This window comes from Homo sapiens, chromosome 8, assembly GCF_000001405.40.
Source record: "Homo sapiens chromosome 8, GRCh38.p14 Primary Assembly".
Lineage (NCBI taxonomy): Eukaryota > Metazoa > Chordata > Mammalia > Primates > Hominidae > Homo > Homo sapiens.
In genome coordinates this window covers 97,124,799-97,148,239 of record NC_000008.11, presented here as the reverse complement: position 1 = coordinate 97,148,239, position 23,441 = coordinate 97,124,799, and the positions used below count along the sequence as shown (strand labels likewise).

Here is a 23,441-nt window from a genome sequence, read left to right as displayed (position 1 = left end):
ATGAAAGTATCTTGGTCATAAGATAAGGAGGCCTTGAATGGAGGTGTTTGGGTGAGGAATGGGTGGCTGCCCTAGGCGGCCTGAGTCCTTGACTGCAGCTCCTTCTGGAAAACTGTAACCCACTGGCAGAGCACTAAGTCAGCTGTGGGGAGGTGTATTAGTCTGTTTTCAGGCTGCTGATAAAGACATACCTGAAACTGGGTAATGTATAAGGAAAAGGAGGTTTAATAGACTCACAGTTCCACATGGCTGGGGAGGCCTCATAATCACAGCAGAAGGTGAAAGGCACGTCTCACATGGTGGCAGACAAATGAGAGCTTGTGCAGGGAAGCTCCCCTTTATAAAACCATCAGATCTCATGAGACTTATTCACTATCATGAGAACAGCACAGGAAAGACCTGCCCCCATGATTAAATTACCTCCCACCAGGTCCCTCCCACAACACATGGGAATTGAGGATGACATTTGGGTGGGGACACAATCAAACCACATCAAGGGGGCAGCTTTCTCCCAGTAGCGCCTGCCAGGCAAAGCCTTTGTAATGCCTAAAGTCAGGCCTGGAAAGTCACATACAGATTTTGATTTTGGCCTGGAGCCAATCTCCTCACTTCTTGTATATTAGTGTCCACTCTATAATCATTTAATTTTGCCTAAAGGACACTTTTTCTAATTTCCTGTAGTGAAGACCTGCTGGTAGTAAACTCTTTCACTTTTTTTTTTTTTTTTTTCTGAGACAGAGTCTCACTCTGTTGCCCAGACTGGAGTGCAGTGACATGATCTTGGCTCGCTGCAACCTCTGCCTCCCAGGTTCAAGCGATTCTCCTGCCTCAGCCCCCTAGTAGCTGGGATTACAGGCACGTGCCACTATACCCAGCTAATTTTTGTATTTTTTTTTAGTAGAGATGGGGTTTTGCCATGTTGGCTTGGCTGGTCTTGAACTCCTGACCTCAGGTGATCCACCCGCCTCACCCTCCAAAGTGCTGGAATTACAGGCATGAGCCACCATGGCTGGCCAACTCTTTCACTTTTTAATCTGAAAAATATCCTTACTTTGTCCTTGTTTTCAAAAGATATTTTCCCTGAGCACAGAGTTGTTAGGTTGATAATTGTTGTCTCTCAGCATGTGGAAGATCTTCTGGCTTGCATTGTTGCTGTTAAGAAGTTAGCTAAAAGTCCAATTGTTGCTTTTTTCAAGATAGTCCATCTCTTCTCTCTTACTTCAAAGAGCTTCTTTTGTCTCTTCTGGTCTGTAGTTTCTCTAAAATATGTCTTTTTATTTATTCTGTCTGGGATTCACTGGGTTTCTTGATTTTGTGTATCTAAATTCTGGAAAATTTTGATTTATTATGTCTTCAGATAATTCTTTGTCCCATTTTCTTTTTTCTGAAACCCTGATTAAACACATTAGACAATATAACTCTATCCTTCATATTTCTTAACCTTTCATTTATATTTTCCATTCTTTGTCTTTCTGTGCTAAATTCTCATAAATTTCATCACTATTGTCTTGCAGTTTACTAACTCTCATTAAATTGGTTAAATTTGTCCCCGAATTTTAAAATTTCACTGAGTATAATTTATATTCCCTAAAGTTCTATTTGGTTCTTTCTACAATATGCTTGGTCATTTTTTTTTATGGTCCCATGCTCTCTATTCTACTTTCAAACTCTTCTTTGACTTCCTTGAAATAATGGACATAGCTTAAATAATTTTAACCAAAAAATTCCAATATCAGAGGACACTGTGGGTTAATTCTTGATCTTTTTTTGTTTGCTCTTGCTCAGAATGCTGTGATTCTTTTTTTCCCCTTTTTGTTGTGAGTTAATATTTTATCTAACTTTATAAGTGGGAATTTCTTCAGACCCTCTACTTAGCTTTTACTCAATCATGGTAACTTTCCTTGCAGACCTGAGAGTTATTTTTGTTCACCACTGTATTGAGGTATAATATTTTGGGGTCTCATTTTTGTTGGAGTTCTATAGTATCCTTAATGTGGCAGAATCTGGAATTTGTCTACAATCTCCTGATCTCTGAATGGAATTTAAGTTTACCACATTCCTTAAACTTTCTCAAAGAGAAAGCTTGTTCAATGTTTTATGTATCTCCAAATGACCAACAAACTTATAAAAACATGCTCAACATCACTAATTATCAAGAAAATGCAAATCGAAACCACAATGAGATACCACCTTACTGCAGTCAGAATGGCCATTATTATTATTTTTGAGACAGGGTCTTGCTGTCACCCAGGCTGGAGTGCAGTGGCATGATCACAGGTCACTGCAACCTTGACCTCCTGGGCTCAAGAGATCCTCCCACCTCAGCTTCCCAAGTAGCTGGGACCACAGATGCATGCCACCATGCCTGGCTAATTTATTTTTATGTTTATTTTTTGTACAGTAAAGGTCTCACAATATTGTCCAGGCTAGTCTTGAACTCCTGAACTGAAGCAATCCTCCTGCATTCCAAAAGTTCTGGGATTACAGGCACGAGCCACCATGCCTGGCCCCAGAATGCCCATTATTATAAAGTCAAAAAACAATAGATGTTGACTGGATGTGGTAAGAAGGGACTGCTTATACACTATTGGTGGGAATGTAAATTAGTACAACCTCTACGGAAAACAGTATAGAGATTTCCCAAAGAACCAAAAGTATATCTACCATGCTATCCAACAACCCCATTACTGGGTATCTACCCAAAGGAAAATAAGTCATTATATCAAAAGACACTGGCATACATATGTTTATCGCAACACAATTCACAGTTGAATAGGTATAGAACCAATCTAACTGCCCATCAAGTGATGAGTGGATGAAGAAAATGTGGTATATATACACCATGGAACACTGCTGAGTAAGCTATAAACAAGAATGAAATGTTTTTTGCAGCAACTTGGATGGAGCTAGAGGCCATTATTCTAAGTGAAGTAACTCAGGAATGGAAAACTGAATACTGTATGTTCTCACTTATAAGTGGGAGCTAAGCTATGGGTATACAAAGGCATACAGAGTGCTATAATGGACATTGGAGACTCAGAAGCAGGGAGGATGAGAGGGAGGTGAGGGATAAAAAAACTATATATTGGATACAATGCACGCTAGTTGGGTGAGGGGTGCACTAAAATCTCAGGCTTTACCACTATACAATTCATCCGTGTAACAAAAACCATTTGTACCTAAAAAGCTATTGGAATTAAAAAATATGTATGTTTTTAAGGCTGAGCGCAGTGGCTCATGCATGTAATCCCAGCACTTTGGGAGGCTGAGGCAGGCTGATCGCTTGAGTCCAGGAGTTCAAGACCAGCCTGGGCAATGTGGCGAAACCCCATCTCTACAAACAAACAAACAAACAAAAAACACAAAAAAATTTAGCACCCTTTGGTCCCAGCTACTCAGGAGGCTGAAGTGGGAGGATCACCTGAGCCTGGGAGGTGGAGGTTGCAGTGAACCAAGATCGCACCACTGCACTCCAGCCTGGGCAACAGAGTACACACACACACACGCACACACACACATATGTATATATATATATTTAAAAGTTTAAAAACCTTTTAAAAGCAAAAAATATTCTATGTATCTCTTGGTATATAGTCTTTCGATACTTAGTCTTTTGTCTAATATTCTTGTTAATCAGTTCATTCATATATTTAATAAGATGTTTCTCAAATATTATCTAGCATTTTTAGTCATCTTCAGTGTAAGGGTCAGAGTACTGGTGTGCTACTTCGTCAGAAATGAAAGATCCCACTCTTTCAATCATTTTTTTATCATTAATACAATTGATGCTTTGTCCTCTCCTTCTGAAAATCCAGTTACACACATATTAGACAACTTGATATTGTATCACAATTCTTGGATGATTCACTCTGGCATTTTTTTTTTTTTTACTCTTTCTTCTCTTTTTGGATAATTTCCATTGGCCTACATACAAGTCCACTAATGCTCTCTGCAGCCTTGTCCAATTGGCTGATGAGTCTGACAAAAAAATTTTATATCTCTGACATTGCATTTTTTAACATTTGTATTTGACTCCATTTTATGGTTTCCAGCTCTGCTGAAATTCCCCTTCTGTTCATGTGTGTAGTCCATTTTTCTTACTAGACCTTTAACATAATCATCATAGTTAGGTTAAACTCCTCTGATCGTTCAAACTTCTGGGTCATCTCTTAGTCTTGTTCTCTTAATTGCTTTATCTCTTGACAATAAGTTTATTTCTTCTTCTTTTTTCGGTGTGTCTTGTAATTTTTTATTGAATATTGGATGTTGTGTGAGGCAGAATAGTAGAAATTGGCTCCAGAGAGGATGGGGATTAATGTTTTTGCTCTAGACGACTCTGTAAATATTATTGAGCCTCTCTGAGCTCCAACCATGTCATCAGCAAATTGTGAATAAGCCCCAACTTCATGGAAATGTTGTGTAAAATAACAAAACATAAATGCAAAATAGCATTATTATTTATCTAGTGACAGACCCTAGTATTTACCTTTAATAAGGCAATTGAATTATACATTCTTGATTTTTTCCCCAAATGATATCCTTTTTTTCTATAAATTAAAAAATTCCAAAGCTCATTTTTAAAATTCACATAATATAAAAATATACAAATTAGAAAGTCAAATGCCTCCATATATTCAATTAAGAGCATACTAAAGTTGAGTAATTCCTCTACTCCTTCAATAAATAATATAAACCATAATATTTTCGTATTTAATGTTCATAAATGAACACATAAAAATCAGAGATCTTCCAAAAATTTATTAAGTGTTTACTTTTAAAGTGGAAACAATGTTTTTAAGAGGTGATATAAAGAAATGCCCCCACTGTAATCCCTACCATATGTTGATTCTATGTGGTGGGAGGGAGGGGAGAATGATTCCTTTTTCTAGAATCAGAGAATTTGGAAAGTATCAAGAAAGATAATAACAGAAAGCATGAAATAGAGTTGTGCTTTGAAGATGAATTGGATGAAATTGTTATGTGAAGAGGAGTTTTCCAAAGTTGCAGACCCAGGATTCCTGGCCAGAAGCATGAAAACGTTTCTTTCTTACTGTTTCTAGGACCTAGGCAGCATTTCTTCCATGTCTGCAACAACATAAGAAACAACAGCCCAAACAGCAGCAGCAACATTCATCTGCTTTGGATCCATGACAGTCATGGTGTCTCCGTGGGAGTGATGGAAGAAGAAATACTTGTATAAGTCATCAAGTAGACTGGCTCCTGGGGATAAAAGAGGAAGAATTCTTAGTGGAGTATTTTGACAGACACTGCTGAATACACACCTCTCCCCCTTCACTTTTGCCTGCTCCTATTATACAGTCTGCAATAGCAAAATAATTACTTTTCCAGGCTCTCTTGCTGCAAGAAATGTCCATGTGTCACCATTCAGATGACTATGATGTGAGTAGCCGGCTGTGGATGAGTTCTAGAAAAGCCTTTAACTTCGTTGACAAAGAGTTGGGAAAATATCCCTAATGCTGCATTCAAGGCAGATGAGAACTTTGGAGCTGCATGGGGCAAAAAGCCCCTAAACTAAAAATGGCAGAGTGGAAGTAGCCTACATTTGGAAAATATTGCTAACTCTCTCAACAAGCTCTGCACTGCCTTCTTCTGGATTTCCTGTGATATAAGGGAAAATAAACTTTTATTTGTATAAGTAACTGAGACAAATGCCTCATATTTATAAAAAGACAGTATCTTCTTTGTATCTGCACGTTTGCAAATTATGTACCTTCCTGGTTACAAAAGAAAGCCAATACCCCTTTGTTCAAGTTTTCCTTCTCAAATCATCCATTTACTTCCTAGAGTTATAACATCCCCAGCAACCTCCAAGGGCACCAGCAGGAGTCTCTGCCCTGCTTCAAAGCTTTCTTCTCATTCAAGTGTGAAGCTTTTTGCTAGTTTCAGTCATGGATCATAGCCTCAGGGAAACTTCATTGTCTCTTATTTATCCTTGAAAACCTACTAGACCCATCTTATGGATTCTAGTTTCAGTTCTTTAGCCTCTAGCTAGCTTGATTGATTGGTTGGTTGACTGTTTTATTGTGAAATATACCATACACACATAAGATTGTACAGAACATAAATGTATATTATAAAGGGTGAAAATAATAAGTACATATATGTCCATAATTTAATGCAAGAATGATATCACCAGTATCTTGGAAACCCATTTATGACACCCCTGCCCACTGCAGATCTTTTCCTCCCTCCAGAGGTACCCACTAGCCTGTCTTGCCTCTTAATTACTCCTTGCTTTTCTACAGTTTTACCACTTCATACTTTACCACATATATGTATATGACTATATATAACAATTATACGTGTACAGATATACAGTTTAATATTGCCTACTTTTGAACCATATCCTCCAGATATATTTCTTTAGCTTGCTTTTTCCATTCAAACATATATAAGATTTATCTATGCTGTTGTGTATAGCTCTAGTATTTTCATGTTTTATTGCAGTATATTACCTCTTTGTATTTATTTATCCATTTTACCAACAATGGTCATTTAGGTGGTTTCCAGTTTTCTATTACGTGCTGCTACCAACACTATCAAGGCTTTGAATGTAGGAGTGGTTTGCTGGGCTATAGAGTATGTGTGTGTTCAATTTTACCGTGCAATTCCAAAATGTTTTCCTTTTCAATTTACACTTACACTGTTAGTATATGAGTCATTCTCTTGCTTCACATAGTCTACAGCACTTGATATTGTCAAACTAATTTTTGTAAATTTGGTGAGTGTGAAATGCTAACATTTCATTTTCAGTTTTAAAAGAAACTAATTGTGAGATTAAGTATGTTTTTACATGTGGATTTTTTTGTCATTTATGTGTGTTTTCTCTTTTGTGAAGTTCTTGTTCATGCATTTTGCCCATTTTTCAATGGATTTGTCTTTTTCTTATTGACTTGTAAGAGTTCTTGGCATAATTTAGACACTTCTGTTAGTAAGTTTGTATATATCATTTCCCAGTTTGTGGCTCATCTCTTTACCCTGTTTAGTGTGTGTTTTGATGAATAAGTGTTTTTACTTTCAATGTAGTTGGATTTATGAATATTTTCCTGTAAGATCCATACTGTTTATGTCTTAAGAAGTCCTTCCTTACCCTAATATTACAAAGATATTCTCTGAAATTCTATTCTAAATTTTAAAAATATTTTATTTTCATTTTTAAGTTCTCTACCCATCCAGAATAGGAAATGATTTTTGTGTTGGGTGTGAGGTAGGATTCTATTTTCAGTTTTCCATTGCCTAGAAACATTTATTCATTAGTAGTACATCCTCTTTCTCCACTGATCTGCGGTACGGATTGTGCCATATTAAGTTTCCTTATATGTTTATTTTGGGGCTTTCTAATTGTTTCAGTGATCTATTTGTCTATCTCTGCAACAATGCCACACTATCTTAATTGCTATTACTTTAGAATCCTTGATATCTGTTAGGGCAAATTCCCTCACTTTCTCTTCCTTCTTCTTCAGGAGTGTTTTGATTATTCAGAACCATTTGCTCTTTCAGATAAATTTTAGAATCATTTAAATATACTCCAAAAGTATTTTTGGATTTTGATCAGAATTGTGGTAATATCTATTTTAAATTGGGGGGAACCGAACATCTTTTTATTAGAATATTGTGTTCTTATCCATGAAAATGGTGTGTTTATATATGTTTCTATTTGTCTTCTTAATGTCTTTAAAGTTTTATAACAGTTTTACATCCCTTTTGTTCATTTTCTTTCTTTGATGGCTTATATATTTTGTTGCTATTGTAAATTTTCATTTTGAAAAACCTACATTTTCTGTTTGTGGCTCTCCAGTTTTAGTATCAAGGATGTATCTGATGCATAACATGGTTTTCCTTCTTTTTTTTATACATTCTGGGATAGTTTGTGTAAGATTAGAATTATTTATTTCCTGGTTATTTTGTAGAACTTTTAACAAAGCCATCAAAGTCTGATGTTTTCTTTATGATAACAATTTTAACTAATGATTCAATTTCTTTCATGGTTATTGGCTTATTCAGGTTTTGTACTTATTCTTGAATTAACTATGGAAATTACATTTGTCTAGGAATTTGTGAGTTTTGTCTAAATGCTCAAAATAATTGGCATGAAGTTGTCAGTAATATCCTGTTTTTAATTTTAGTTGATGTCTGCAGCATCTATAGTGATGCCCTCTTTTTCATTCTTGATGTTGATTATCAGTGTCTTCTCTGTTTTTTTTTTAAATCTTGCTTGCAGTTTGTCAGTTTTATTAATAATTTGAAGAAAAAGAAAAAATGATGACTTTCATTTTTTGGATACTTTCTATTATTTAGTAGTTGTTCTTCCATTGATTTCTGCTCCTAAGTTTATATTATGCTTATATTATTTTACTCCTCCTTTCTTTGGATTTATTTGCTTTTCTTTTTCTAATTTTTGGAGTTAAACACTCAGTTTATTACTCTGCAGACGTACTTTGTCTCTAGCATAAGCAGTAAGGCTATAATCTTCCCTCAATACTGCTTTAGCTGTATCTCACCAGTTCCCATTAGTAGTTTCATGACAATTCAGTTCTAAATATTTATTAATTTCTAGTTTTACTTTTTCCTTGACTCATGAGTTAGAATGCATTTTTTTAATTTTCAAAAGTATGAAGTTTTCTGAGTTATTTTTTTCATTATTGATTTCTAATTTAACTGTTAGAGAATGTTGGCTGTATGATATAGATTCTTTGAATTTTGTTGATGTTTGCTCTATGGCCTAGTATGTGATGCATTTTTGTAAATATTCCATGTGTATTTGAAGAGAATGTGCTTTCAGTGCTCTGTGTAAGTCCATTAGATCAAGCTTCTTAATTGTGTTCTTCAAACCTTTTAACTCCTTACTGATTTATTGTCTATTTGACCCATCAATTTTGAGAGAGATGTGTGAAAATGTCCCTCTGTGAGATGTGTGAAAATGTCCCTTTGTGATTTTGAATATTCCGTAGTTCCAGTAATTTTTTAAAATATATTTCAAAGTTATGCTGTTAGGGGTATACAAATTTAAAATTATGTATCCCTGGTAAATTGAAAACTCATCTGTAATGTTGCTTTTTGTTCTGGAAGTCCAGTTTTTCCTAATAATTAAGATAGGCACACCTAGTTCTTTTTGCAGAGTATTACCCTGGTATGTCCTTTCCCATCGTTTTACTGGCAGCCTTTCTCTATCTCATACTTTTAGGAGTTTCTCTTATGAATAGTTTAGAGTTGAATTTTTTTGCTTCTATCTGTTTATTATGTTTTCTAGGTTTCTTTTTTTTCTTTCTTTCTTGCCTTCTTTTGGGTTGATTTTTTTCCCTTCTCTCATTCCTTTTCCCTCCAACTCTATAGTTTGGAAGCTACATGCTTTATTTCAATTCTGTCAGTGGAGACCTTGGAAATTATAGGTTACATATTCATCTTAATAAGTCTAAAGTTAATCAATATCTTATAAAGTACACTAGTGGCCCCAAGTTTTGTACTTGTCCTAGATGCACCCACTGCTCATTAAAACCCATGCTCTAGGCAAACAGGGATTAGCAGACAAATGCCAGGCCCCAGGGTTTTCTTACTTCTATAGATTTTCATTATTTCTATTATTTCTCACCTCTGAGGAATTCCCTTATTTTGCCTCTTGCTAAGTCATGTATTATTAAAAGGCAATTATTATTATATCCAATAACTATTTTAGGGAAGGGGAGGTATGTTTCTATGTGTTTCTGGTAACCACATTGCTAGGATTTCCCTCTTCAAATCCCCTACCTCCTGTCTTGTGGACTGGACATTGCCATTGTTCTTGAGCCCTCCATTGCCCCAGGATGCCATCTAGATTTTCTCCAAGCCCAACCCACGTTCTTACAACTTTGTACCAGAGTTTTCCCCTATCTACTCCCATAAACCCCTTGCTCTGGGGTGGAGTACTTAGGATGTCAACAGACAGATATAGGCACAGGTATTCCAGATGAACAGAACATGTGAGCGTTCCAGTTTGGTTGACACTGGGGGGTAACTTGGGCTAATTATTGGCAGATAAAGTTGGCAACTACCTGTGGAAGGTCCTAAATGTCAGGCTGAAAATAGACTGAATGTAGTTCATAAATGTGGAGCCATGGTGGTTGGGAGGATGAATGAGAAGGTGGGGTGACTAGAGATGCACCTTAGGGAGATGCTCCAAAAAACATGAAGGAGAAATTGTGTGAACAACTACGAAGGTGAGTAAACAGCTGGAGAAGAGGTCCAGTCTGAGGAGAAGTGAGAGGGACCAGGGCCAGATGATGACATCTTGACCTCCAGAAGGCACAGATAACCACATTTCCCAGTAGAAAAGCCAGAAGTCCTTTTTTTTTTTTGAGACGGAGTCTTGCTCTTCGCCCAGGCTGGAGTGCAGTGGCGTGAACTTGGCTCACTGCAAGCTCCGCCTCCCGGGACTACAGGCGCCTGCCACCACGCCCAGCTAATTTTTTGTATTTTTAGTAGAGAAGGAGTTTCACCGTGTTAACCACGATGGTCTCGATTTCCTGACCTCATGATCCGCCCGCCTCGGCCTCCCAAAGTGCTGGGATTACAGGCCAGAAGTCCATTTTAAAACCAGAAAATACTTTATGCCATGAACTCACAGCACACCCAGGGGAGACAAATCTGTATGTTTACTCTGGTAGTAGCTAGAAAGCACTTTAACAGAAACTGTGACATTTTAGAGTTAGTTGAAGCTGGTGGGGAGTACATGCTCTCTGGACCCCACAGAGTATCAGGTGAATGTCAAATTCATGTACAAGGACAGAGTCAAAACCTTCAAAGAACAGAAGTCACTGAGGGTGAATGGAGGATGAATTAGAATTGTGGATGTCAGGAAACAGGAAGGGACATTTAATTCCAGCAGACAGAGCTTGGAACACTTGGGGCTGTTTCCTTCCCAGTCAGAGCTTCTTAAAGACACGGCATGGTGGTCGACAGACAAAGCCTCCAAATTCCATATTTAAAAAAGAGAGGCAAGAAATATTTGTCCATGCCCTCTTCAGAGCTCCAAAATTCTCAGACTGAAGGAATTTGGCTGCCTTCCTTTAGAACTAGTGACTTGAAGAAGGCATTTCCTCAGATATCATCTAAGTTCCCATGAACATTCTACAAAACTAAAACAACTCCAAAACGTGTTCTATCAATCACTAGTGAGAATGCTGATAACTGCAGGAGATACCAGGGTGGGCCCGCTGGCTGGCTTGCAACTTTGTCTCTGTAGTTCCAAGGAGACATTTTATCAGTGACAGCTACTGATCTAAAAGATGGGCACTGAGGGAGATCCTGCACTTCCATTTCTGAGAGCACCTGACATTGCAGGGTGGGTGGGTCAGGGGGAATGTTAACTATCCCCAGGGATAAATTGCATAGGATCTTCTGACAGGTATATGAGCTCTGAAGAGGGAGTCATAAAATGCATTTATGAAATGGAAAGCTGGCAGAAGGAGCCTGCTCTGAAGGCAAATATTCTCCCCTGGAAACAAACTACAGCATTATTAGGGCAGTTTCACTGTTAGGAAATTATTTCCAAGGGAGGTTTGGAGTTTAAGAATGTGAAGACATATCCTTCAGCATGTCAGCCAAGGAGCCATTGCACCTAGGAGGGAGATACAGCTGAGAGAATATGGGGTTTAGAGGCAGGTAGGGCTGGGTTCAAATTCAAATTCTTCTGCTTAAAACCTGGGTGACTTTGAAAGAATGATGTAAAGCCATTCAACTTTAGTTTCCTCAATCAGCAAACAGGGCTAATGATATCCAACTTCCAAGATGCTTGTGAGGATTAATAGGTACTCAATTAATTCTTTATTATAGTTGTTATACAGCCACAAAGATGAGCCAATCTATATCAACAGTATCATGATCAATTCATTACAGCTTGGAAGATTTAAATTCCAATTTAATAAATCAAAGTTGTGACGATCGCTTTTTAAAGACGGAACACCTGGTCTGTGATTCTAGTCTATATGACTGCCTTGACCCTGGTTTGGATTATTTTCCCTCTTCCTCCTTCCCTTGCTCCTTCTCTATGAATCTTTTTTTTTTGTAAACACTCATCTCACAGAAAACATTTTCCAGCTACGTGACTGGGTGAAGACCATCTGATGAATATTATAAAAAATACCTGAGCTGCCCCATACTGTTCACAGCAGATTTCAGCCTTCACAGGGTGCTCTCACTAATGACTGTGGCTTGTGCAGAATGTTGGAACAAGACTGAATACCTGCTAATTCCTGAAGAGATGGGTGGGCACATACACAAAGATTCTCAAAGTCACCATTATTATAGGTTGACTCTCATTCATATGTAATCAGTGAGTTTTCATGTACACAAATTAAGCAATTTGTGTTATGAGAAGTTTTTGAAAGACGTTTGAAAGCACTGAAAGTTTAAATTCAAGTCTGTTATTTTAGTGCATATACTGGCTACTGTGGTTCTGTGTGAAGGATGCATTCACAGGCGAGCAGCTGTGGGAAATCCATTTCTCCTTTTATAAACACATCTTGAACAGTCTGGGGTATGCAATTTAATTGCCATGGAATATATTATAGATATTCCCTGATCATAATAATTATGGGGTGAGGGAAGAATGTTATGGTCTTAACATATTCCTTGCAAGAAAACTTAGTCCCTCTAGAATCCTTAAAATACTAAAAATACATTTAAAATTTAATTAAAATTATTATTATTTTCAGCAACATTAGCAAATGAAAAACACATACACATTATTACCAAAACAATTAGAAAATCAATTCATGGGATTTGCAGACACTTAATCTCTCTTTTCAAGGGGGCAGTTTAATCCCTACTGTATTAAATCTTATTGAAAATTAGACTCAAAAGCAGTTCATTAGCAGCTTCCTAACACATAGCTCCCTAGAAGAGAAAGCAACTCAACTCATAAGAGGGGGAAAAAATGAAAGGAAAACAAAGGACAGGACAGGACCAGAAAGTAAAAACAAAAAAAATCCTCAATCACAAATCCATTAAAAGTATTCTACTTTTAGTTTCTAACTCTCAAGCTACCCAAGAATCTCCAAACTTGGGCTAAAAAGTTTTAGGTGCGCCACTAAGCCCATGTACCTTCTATCTCTTTGGAAACCTTGGCTTGGCTATGGGCATAATTTTGACCAAATAGTTTAGGTCAACACCAACACCTCTGGTGGACTTGCAGGTCCCACAGTATCTGAACTGTGTGATAATGAGTCATCTCTGTAAGGTGGTAAAACTGTGTGGCAGCAATAACTAAGACTAGTTAATCAGTACTACATGAAGATGATGCTACAGACTCCCCAAATAGGGGAATTACAAGAATAATAGTCACTGCTTGTTGAGTGCTTTCTGTGTACTGAGGGCTTTCTGGAGATGATTTCATTGAATTGGCCCTATGAGGGAGAGATCTTCATGTGTCTTTAACAGATGGAAAATAGATTTTAGTAACTTGTCTGATGTCATACAGTAGTAAGTGGTAGAAATAGAATTCAAACCCAGGTGTCTCTGATCTGAAATCCATGCTCTGTACCTTCTTCACTGCCCTATCTCGGGAAAAAATGTGCCTTTTCTCCAGTGGGAAACCATTTGCATGACTTGCTTCATTTGCAGCTCTGATCTCCCACCCCTATTCTACTTTATGACAAAGAGATGGAAACTTGGGTCGGAGGTATCCTGGACCATGAAATAGAGTAAAGACTTGAATTACATTCATACAGTGGGCAGAAGATGAATGGCAGCCCTACCTGACACCAAGCCCATCGCTGTGGCCGGGCCACACTCTGCAGGCCTGCCAGTCCTCCTGGGACTCCCTGATCGTTCAGTCTAAAGTCCACCCCTCCATGTGGTCACTCATTATCTCCCTTACCTTCATGCTGCTGCTTCTTTTTCTTTTTCATAGCACTATCTACCAGTTGAAACAATATTATCATGGTTTTATTATTGTTGTCTGTCTTTTCTGCTAGAATGTAAGCTCCTTAAGAGCAGGGGCTTTTTCACCCCAATCCTCAATGCCTGGCACTTAGTGGATGCTTAACAGATATTTGTTGAATCACTGAATGGGTAAATGAAAAAATTCTTAACATGTAGTGGGACAAAAGCAGAAATAAAGATTGACTCCATCCTCCTTTTCTACAGCAACTTATGGTAAGTAAATCCCACTTTCTGGGAGTTCTACTCTCAGCTTCTGCCTTGGAGAATGACAAGTCAGTTCTCCTTACCAAAACCATGTGAACATATAGCAGTATACAAGTTGAGATCCAAACACTATTATGTAGAACTCAGTATGTTCTTATACCTTTCACCACTCTTATAAAAATTATTCATGACTTAAAAATAAAGCAAAAAGGTAGGCAGTACATTCTTTCAATGTCATTCAGGGGCCAAGTCCACCCAAAGATTATTTATTAGAATGTACTTATTTTGACTCACTGCTTACTGTTGATTAAAGGTCCCAGATTTAGTGAAGTTACATGTCAACTTAAAGATGTCTAAAAGAGATGAAAATGAATTTTGTCCCATAGAACAGATATCTCAAATGTTACAGTTTATTGGCTTCTAAGACATTAACCAGTTTTTATCTAACCCAGCAATTTTATCCTAATATATATTTATTAAGTTGCACAGACTTGGTTTCTCAAATGCTCTTTAAAATGGTGTAACATCTTACTGATATTCTCATTAATTAATGAATTGAATAAATTTTTTGACATGCATGAGATTCATGATTTTACCATTTAGAAAATTGTATTACTTTACCACCACCCACCTAACAAACTCTAAAAGAACAATCACGTTCATATGCTTCTTGCAAATGTTAAGTGACTCACAAAGTCCCCATTCATGATTTTATACACAATTACTCTAATGATTAAGAGCACTGAACAAACTGATCACCAATATAAGGGCTGGCCTTCAGGTAGAAAGTGTGCCTTCCCTCTGTATGTAGTTCATGGTCTCTAGGTATGAGGAGTATTGGGGGAAAATAAATATAAATTACATATATGTATTTACATGTGCATAAATATAAATATATGTATATATGGAGAGAGAGTATATATAGGTATATATGTGTGCATGTGTCTGTATGTGTATAAAATGAGGCTCTTCTTCAATACCTACCTATACTCCTTAATAACCTCTATTTCTCCCTTGACCCACCTCACACCTTCCACATGACTCTAGGTTCATTATCTTTGACTTTATAATTTTCTGTGTGTGCGGGTGTGTCAAAAACATATACAGCTATAAAGAAACATCCACACCTCCTTACCACTGTATTTTGAATTGTACTCGTGTTTATATGTCAGTCTCAGTTTATTGTGTTCACCTTTGTCTATACAGAATTTATTGCCCACTCTCTTTTCATGGTCTGACGTCAATAAAGTTCCCTCTTCACCCATCTGAGCCAGCATGACTCCTTGTAAATGCCTTTCTGCAGCTCTGTCCACATCTAGGGAATGATGCTCACTGAGGAAACATCATTAAAAATTGTTTCTGACAGAGCACACCATGAGAACATTCAGTGCATATGGGTTTTCAAACCTGAAAACACCCTAAAGATTATTTCCAGTGTAGAGTTTATAATGAAAGCTTTAAAATAATCATGCTTTAGTATAATCATGTTCAAATGGACAGATTTTTGATAGCTGGCTACAAACACAAGGAGGTTACAAAGCCACAGTGCAGTGGAAGTCAGGTTTTAGCAGAGATGACATTTGAACTTAAACATTTTTCCCCACCTCTTCCTGTCTACCTCCCATTCTTTTGGCAACCAGAAACAAGGGAATTAGAAAAGTGGGAAGTATTACAAGAAAATGCTGTTTCTGACCAAATTCCCATCTGAAATCGGAATAGTTTAGCAGGACTGTTTGGCAGGAGTGCTGCACAGATGCCCAGGTGACACAATGGAGCTGGAGTCCCAATTTTGTCAGCCATTGTTAATGCTTATGGTATTGGGGGCCAGCTGGTTCACAGTAATATGAGATAGGTCACAAGGGAGAATCCACACACCTCTGACCAGTGGTTTTCACTTCCACATGGCCAAGCTGATGAGTTTATAACATCCACATTTTATCATAGAGCACTTAAGCACATAGAGTCTAGGAAAAAAGAAACCCTGGCTTTATGAGAAGAAGCCTTGACTAACTAATTCTTTACAACCTTTAAAAAGGTTTAAAAATTATAGGCAAGAAAAAGGGGATATTTTACCTTTCAAAGAAACTTTGATGAAACTATACTAATAATCAAAAAGGTTGAGTTTCCTTGGCATTGAAGGGAATGTTTTGCTGTGAATGGGAAACTAACTGGATATGAGACAAAAAACAGAAGCAACAGGTGTTTCTCTATAAGCAGATCCACTTACGGACTGGTATTATTGTTTGGAATTGGAATCAGTCTTAGGAACCTATAAGGGTCCTTCCAGTTACAAGATGCTGTTAATTTCCCCTATTCTTCCCAACAAGTAGGGCAGGCTAAAATTGTTCTTTTAAATGACTCTAGTAGAAATTCATAGTGATTAAGCTATAATGAGAAATAAAATTATTTTAGAGAGGGTGTGCCCAACAATTTTAGGGGTGATGTCAAAGTGGCAGCAGCCCTCCACAAAATGCCTCTGGGGGCCACTGTCAGAAGTAGAATTATAGCTAGAGGGACCAAGAGTCTGAAACAAAATGGGCTTTTTTCATTTCCAGATATCACAGGGTCAAGGTCACAAGAAACTCTACCATGGATAATAATAGGTAGACATATAAAAAAGTCTTACTACTAAAAAATCCTATCTAAAAATGTGCATTAGATATAAGCTTAAATGCTAATGAATAATATGTATCATGTTCAGAAAAATGAAGACGGTGTCATGTGAATTTCTTTAGAGGCAGCTCTGGCCAATGAAGAAAATTGATCTGTGTGAGAGCCTTTGGATTCCTTTATATTTTCCATATTTGCTTATGTGTCAGACAGTATGGATTTATCCAAAATAAGTGTGTCTATGCTTTTGTATAAGGCAGTTGGTTACAAAAAAGATGACAACTACTTGGCTGATGCTACAAAATATTAGTGAGGTTTTTCCCAAACCAGGTTCTGAGGGAAGAACTAAAAGGAAGACACAAGGCGAATTACCCTTGCTTCAAACCATAATCCTTGAAGATGAAACAAAGTTAGAAGTTGCCAACTATGAAAAATTGGGTGAATGTTAGCTAAATGTTCTAATATGCTTTCGTTTTATTTATGCAAGTAGGCTTTTCTTTCTTGGTCACCTGGCAGCGTCCCATTTGGCAGCTCAACGCAGCCTCTTTAACTGACTACCTGATGAAGAGATGCAAATTTTTTTTTTTGACACAAAACCTTCTAAAATATAACCTACTATAAATCATTATGCAGTGAGGGAATGAATAGGCAAACCATGAAAAGCTTTGTGAATTCCAAAACAAAGGGAAACAAATGTGTTAAGAAGCAGCCTGGGAAATGAATATGCTCTTAATGCAAATACATTTCACTTAAAGTAAAAGGTTGGTTCAAGGAATATCCACTAATTGCCAATGCTCATGAAAAAATCTTGACCCAAAGAAATTCATTTGTAGGAAATCTACAAGCTGAGAGGTAAATTTAGCATTTAAAGGTAGCTAAATTCCCACTGCTGTTTATGGTTGACCCACGTTAATATAATTTTTTAGGACAATCCTTATGATGAAGAAACAGTGATTATTCTCAGTAGCCACACAAAATATAATTAAAGTACATTTGATCAAATGCTTCTCTGGTGAGATAAACTGCAATTTACACATTTTTGTGGAAAAAAAAAAAAAAAAAAAAAACAGCTGACGATGATAGAGGAAGCTAATGCTACTTTGTCGGGTAACATGCCATTAGCTGTTTCATCATTTATACTCAAACTCCAGAATTACGGGGCAAGGTAAACGATGCTTGAGATTTGCTGCTGCAGATGCCAGGGACGAGTTTATAAATAACACCAGGAGTCCTGCTGTTTCACCTCCTGAGTCATTTTTTCTCTAAAGCCTTTAGAATTCTTGATAAAAGGTGGAGAGGAAAGCGTGCTGTCCTTTACTAACTAATTAAACTGGTAAAAAGGCCTCATGATGGAGGACATGGAACATGAAGCATGAATTATTTCTTATTTAATAATTTCGTATAGCTGAGAAATAATCATCCAGCTGCTGTAAAGAGGTTAAATGACTACTCAGAATGATCACAGTTACGTTTACAATGTATCAACCTTTCACTCATTTTTGCATCCATAGCAGGGCAGCGACTAGTGCAGCAGGACTTGCGTAGAAGGATTTTGGAAAGGGCACCATATTCATTCATCTTATATCTACTGAGCTCCCACTAAGTGCCAAGTACCTTGCTAGGCCCTGGGGAAAGAGTGGTGGGCATAATTTACCAGATGCCTGCTCTCACGGAACTTTCAATCTAGGGGAGTACATCTGTGGAAATGAGGTTGACTGGAATATAAAAGAGCACAGCTAAAAACTACTTGAGATTCTGCAGATAAAGCTTAACAAGAAAAAAGCCTCATTTTCCCTAAGTTCCTGATTGTAATGCAGTGGAGATTGTTTATGGGTATGTTAGTGGATGGCACAGGCTGTTTCGCTGTGAGCGTGGTACAGAGATTGGGAAATAGCATTCCTACTTTTTGTTTCCGGAGTAAATGATACATGGTTTAATGATGAAACAAGTAACAAAATCATAACCACAATCATAGCCAGGATTTACTAAGTACTTTCTATGAGCCTGTACTAAACACTTACAGGCATTATCTTATCAAAGCCTCACAATGATTCTATAATTATTATTATCCTCATTTTACAGATGAGTAAACTTTGGCTTTAAGGTAATAATGATGATTATAAGCAAAAGAGTCTGGTGAGAGGATGTGTAGGCCGTTTTACTTGGTGCTGAATTCATATTTACTCATCTTAGGGAGAAGACTACAGGAGTGGGGAGTCCTGGCCCCAGAGTGGAGTGAGAGGGCAATTCTGTGAAGCTGCCATCCTCAGATGGCCCCTGCCCACATCAGCACCCATCTTTTCTTTCCAGGGAACTTCTCATATGAATCTGTGCTTTTTGAAATCCCTTCTATTAGATTTCATGTCTCACTTGTAAATTTCCAAAATGATATCCTTCTCTTTCTTCTGATTCAGACCCACATGCCTGGTGACAGACATCTAACCACTCTGCTGGTTTAGGGGTGAATCCCACTCTGTCTATGGTGGGTAGGTTGTCAGAATGGCTACTGACCCTCCTAATATTTAGACTCACTTCCCCCTGTGGAGAAATGTCTCCTGCCCTTGGAAGCTTTCTTTTCACATAATCAGGACTGGGAAAGAACTTCTCTAGTCCAACCATCATCTAATGTTTAAATCACTTCATAATATCCCTAATATATGGCTGTTGAGCCTTTTCTGAATACCTCTACTTTCCACAGTAGTGCATCCCAATTGCTCTCCAGGCGTGCATTCATTCAACTTACAACTATGTTCGTAAAATAAGCTGAGGAGAAAGTTTTTTCTGTTTGTTTGTTTGTTTTTTTGAGACAGAGTTTCGCTCTGTTGCCCAGGCTGGAGTGCAACGGCACCATCTCGGCTCACTGCAACCTCCACCTCCCAGGTTCAAGCGATTCTCCTGCCTCAGCCTCCTGAGTAGCTGGGATTACAGGTGCCTGCTACCACACCTGGCTAATTTTTGTATTTTTAGTAGAAACGAGGTTTCACCGAGTTGGCCAGGCTGGTCTTGAACTCCTAACCTCAGGTGATCCACCTGCCTTGGCCTCCCAAAGTGCTGGGATTACAGGCTTGAGCCACTGTGCCTGGCCAAGGAGAAAGTTTTAAGCAAAGGACTATGACAGTTGCACCAAGCACCCACCCTTAAGGAGGCCCAAATAGGAGAGCTAGGACTTACACACCAGGAGCAAAACATGAGATCCAAAGTTAGAGCTCAGAAGACAGAAAGGTCAGTTCCTATTGTGATGCCCAATCAGATCAAAACAACCCATGCTAATTTCCTAATTCTCTGAGTGACTAAAGGAATTCATAGTGCTGCAAAACCTTGGGAAAGAGCTAGAGAACAGTAAGTGCTAATATTGCTTCTATCATGAACAACAAAATAGCTGCTTCTTTTTATGCAAAATTTGAATAGAATAGAAAATACTCATTCTAAGTGTATATTTGACAAGTTTTGGCGAATGAACACACCTGTGTGACTACTACAGCAATAAGACACAGAACATTTCCATCACTCCTAAAAATTCACTCATGGTCCTTTTCAGTCCATTCCTTCCCACCCCCGTCTCGGGCAACCATTGGTTTGATTCCTGTCACTATTGATTAGGCTTGCCTTTCCTATACTTTTGCCTGAAAGGAATCATACAGTGTGATCTCTTGTGTCTGGCTTCTTTTGCTCAGCATAATGATTTGGGAATTCATCCACATTATTGCATAGTTTGTTTGTTTTGGACATTTTAGTGAATGTTAGCAATGTCTTGTCTTGGTTTTAATTTGTATTTCTTTTTCTTTTTTTCATTTTTTTTGGGATGGAGTCTTGCTCTGTCACCCACGCTGGAGTGCAGTGGCGAAATCTCGGCTTACTGCAGCCTTCACTTCCCAGGTTCAAGTAATTCCCGTGCCTCAGCCTCCTGAGTAGCTGGGACTACAGGTGCGTGCCACCACGCCTGGCTAATTTTTGTATTTTTTGTAGAGATGGGGGTTTCACCATGTTGGCCAGGCTGGTCTCAAACTCCTGACCTCAAGTGATCTGCTGGCCTTGGCCTCCCAAAGTGTTGGGAGCCACCACACCTAGCCTTAATTTGTATTTCAATGATGACTAATGATCTCAAGCACCTTTTCATGTACTTACTGGGGATTGGTGTATCTTGTTTGTGAAATGTTTGTTAAAATATTTTGCTCATTTTTTCTTGTTAGTCTCCTTTTAATTGAGTTGTGAGAGTTACAAGTCCTTTGTCAGACGTATGTATTGTATTTTCTCCTCTGTGGCTTGCCTTTCATTTTCTTAATGATATCTTCCAAAGAGTGGAAATTTTACTTACGATGATGTCCAACTTATCAATTTCTTTAAATGGTTAGTTCCTTTAGTAATCTAAGAAATCTTTACCTAACCTGAGGTCAAAAGATTTTTCTCCTATATTTTCTTCTATAATTATCATAGTTTAAGATTTTACATTTAGGTTTATGATCCATTTTGAGTTAATTTTTGTGCAGGGTATGAGATAAGGGCTAAGGTTCATTTTTTTCCCCTTAAGGATATCTGTTTTAACACTATTTGTTGTAAAGACTATCCTTTTCCCGTTGAATAACCTTGTACTTTTGTAAAAAATTAAGTGACCATATACGCATAGACCTATTCTATTCCACTGATCTGTCTATTCTTATGCCAATATGCCAATACCACATGACTTTGATTATTGTAGATGAAAGTTTTTGAAATCAGAGTAAGTCCTCAAATTTTTTTTCTCCTTTTCAAAATTTTTCTTTCATTTATTTAAGTCTGCTTAAAAATCTCCTAAATTTTACATGTATTTTATTAAAATTATTCTTGAGTATTTCATGTTCTTTGATGTTATTTTTTAAAATATTATTTGCTAGTTTTTAGTATACAGACATAAACTTTAATTTTGTATATTGTGACCTTGCTAAGTTTACTTCTTGCTTCTAGCAGCATATGTTTGTAGTTTTCTTAGGATTTTCTATGTACTGTGAAAGTTATCAGAATAAAAATGAAGGCATAAATGTTATGAAAACCCAAACAAATACAGCTAGGGAAGGTCACGAAGAGAGGGTTCTCATGCTTGCATGCCTGATAACAAAAAAGACCGCTAAAACCACAACTTTGCACAGAGACCATCAAGACTTTGCATAAAACTTACTTCTGTAAGTACATCTGCCCAGCAGCTACCTGTCCAACCTCAGAAGGTGTCACTCTTGCTATTTTTTATTATTATTTTTTTAAATTATAGGGTTAGTGGGTACAAGTGCAGAAGACGTGTATATATTGTGCAGTTGTGAGGTCTGGGCTTTTAGCGTACCCATCGCACCCTTCTTATTGATCTTTGTAGTCAAGGATAATTATTTTAAAACAATTATGTAATCTTCCTCATTTTTTCCTTGAAAAAGCTTTGTCTTCCTTTACCTCCCTGAATACACACATAGTTAACTACAGCCTAGGTATTTCCATTGCAAAGCTCTATTCCCAGATAAACATCTTTCTTTCACAGAGCCCCTCTCTTTTAGTTATTTAGGTTGACAGTACACAATTCTGTTGTTTATTCATAATAATAATTTTACTACTTCCTTTGCAATCTGTAATCTTTGATTTCTTTATCTTGTCTAATTATACTAGTTGGTACTTGCAATATGATGTTTAAATAGAAGTGGTGAGAACGGGAATCTTTGTCTTATTCCCCATCGTAGTAGGAAAGCATTCACTCTTTCATAATTAAACTGAAGATTTGACATCACTGCCTTTTAACAGGTCGAGGAAGCTGTCACTATTCCTAATTTTCCAAAAGTCATTATTATGAATGGGTGTTGAATTTTGTGCAATGCTTTTTATGCACCTCCTGAAATGATCATACTCTTTCCTTTATTATGTTAATGTGGTAAATTATATTGATCGATTTAAAAATATTAAACCAACCTTAAATTTCTAAGATAAATGCCACTTGAACATAGTATATTATCCAGTTTACATATGGCTGAATTTAATTTGCTTATATTTTGTTAAGAATTTTTGTGTCTATATTTATGAAGGATATTGGTCTATAGTTTTCTTACCATATCTTTGGTTTTGATATCAGTGTCATACACGCCTTATAAAATGAGTTGGGAAGTATTTACCTCTTTCTCTGTTTTCTTAAAGTTTGCATAGTCATGTTATTATTTATCCTTTAAATGGTTCACAGAATTAATTAGGGAACTACCTGGGCCTGGGGTTTTCTTTGAGTAAAGGCTTTTACTTATGAATTCAATTCATTTAATTTATAGGAGTATTTAGGTTTTTTATTTCTTCTTGAATCAGTATTAGCAATTTGTCTTTTAAGGAATTTATGCATGTCATCTGCGTTGTTGAATTTTTTGTATATGTTTGTTCATTAGAGTCCTTTAGTGCCCTTTTAATGACGTATGTGTAGTCATGTGTCCTGTTTCACACCTGAGATTGCCAGTTTGCATCTTCTCTTTTTTCTTGACCAGCTTGATAGTTTATCAGTTTTATAGCTTTGTTTCAAAAAGTCCGTTTTAAAATTCATTGATTTTCTCTATTATTTATTATTTTCTATTTCATTGATTTCTACTTTTTTCTACGTACTTAAGGTTAGTATTTTTGTTGTTGTTGTTAGCTTCTTAATGTGGAAGCTAGATCACTGATTTTAGAACTTTCTTCTTTTCTAACATAAGCATTTAACC

General features: G+C 37.1%; 1 protein-coding gene and 1 long non-coding RNA gene across 2 annotated transcripts in view; one reads left to right on the top strand and one right to left on the bottom strand.

Moving 5' to 3' along the window:
- The window catches only part of LOC101927066 (uncharacterized), a 494,634-nt gene that overhangs the window by 298,258 nt on the left and 172,935 nt on the right, over positions 1 to 23,441 (top strand). The gene's annotated exons all lie outside the window — the stretch shown is intronic.
- Positions 4,739 to 23,441, bottom strand: part of CPQ (carboxypeptidase Q) — a 498,260-nt gene continuing 479,557 nt past the window's right edge. The window contains exon 8 of the mRNA NM_016134.4: positions 4,739 to 5,220. Coding sequence (NP_057218.1) covers positions 5,057 to 5,220 — 164 coding nt within the window. The 3' untranslated portion in view covers positions 4,739 to 5,056. The remainder of the gene's footprint in view (positions 5,221 to 23,441) is intronic.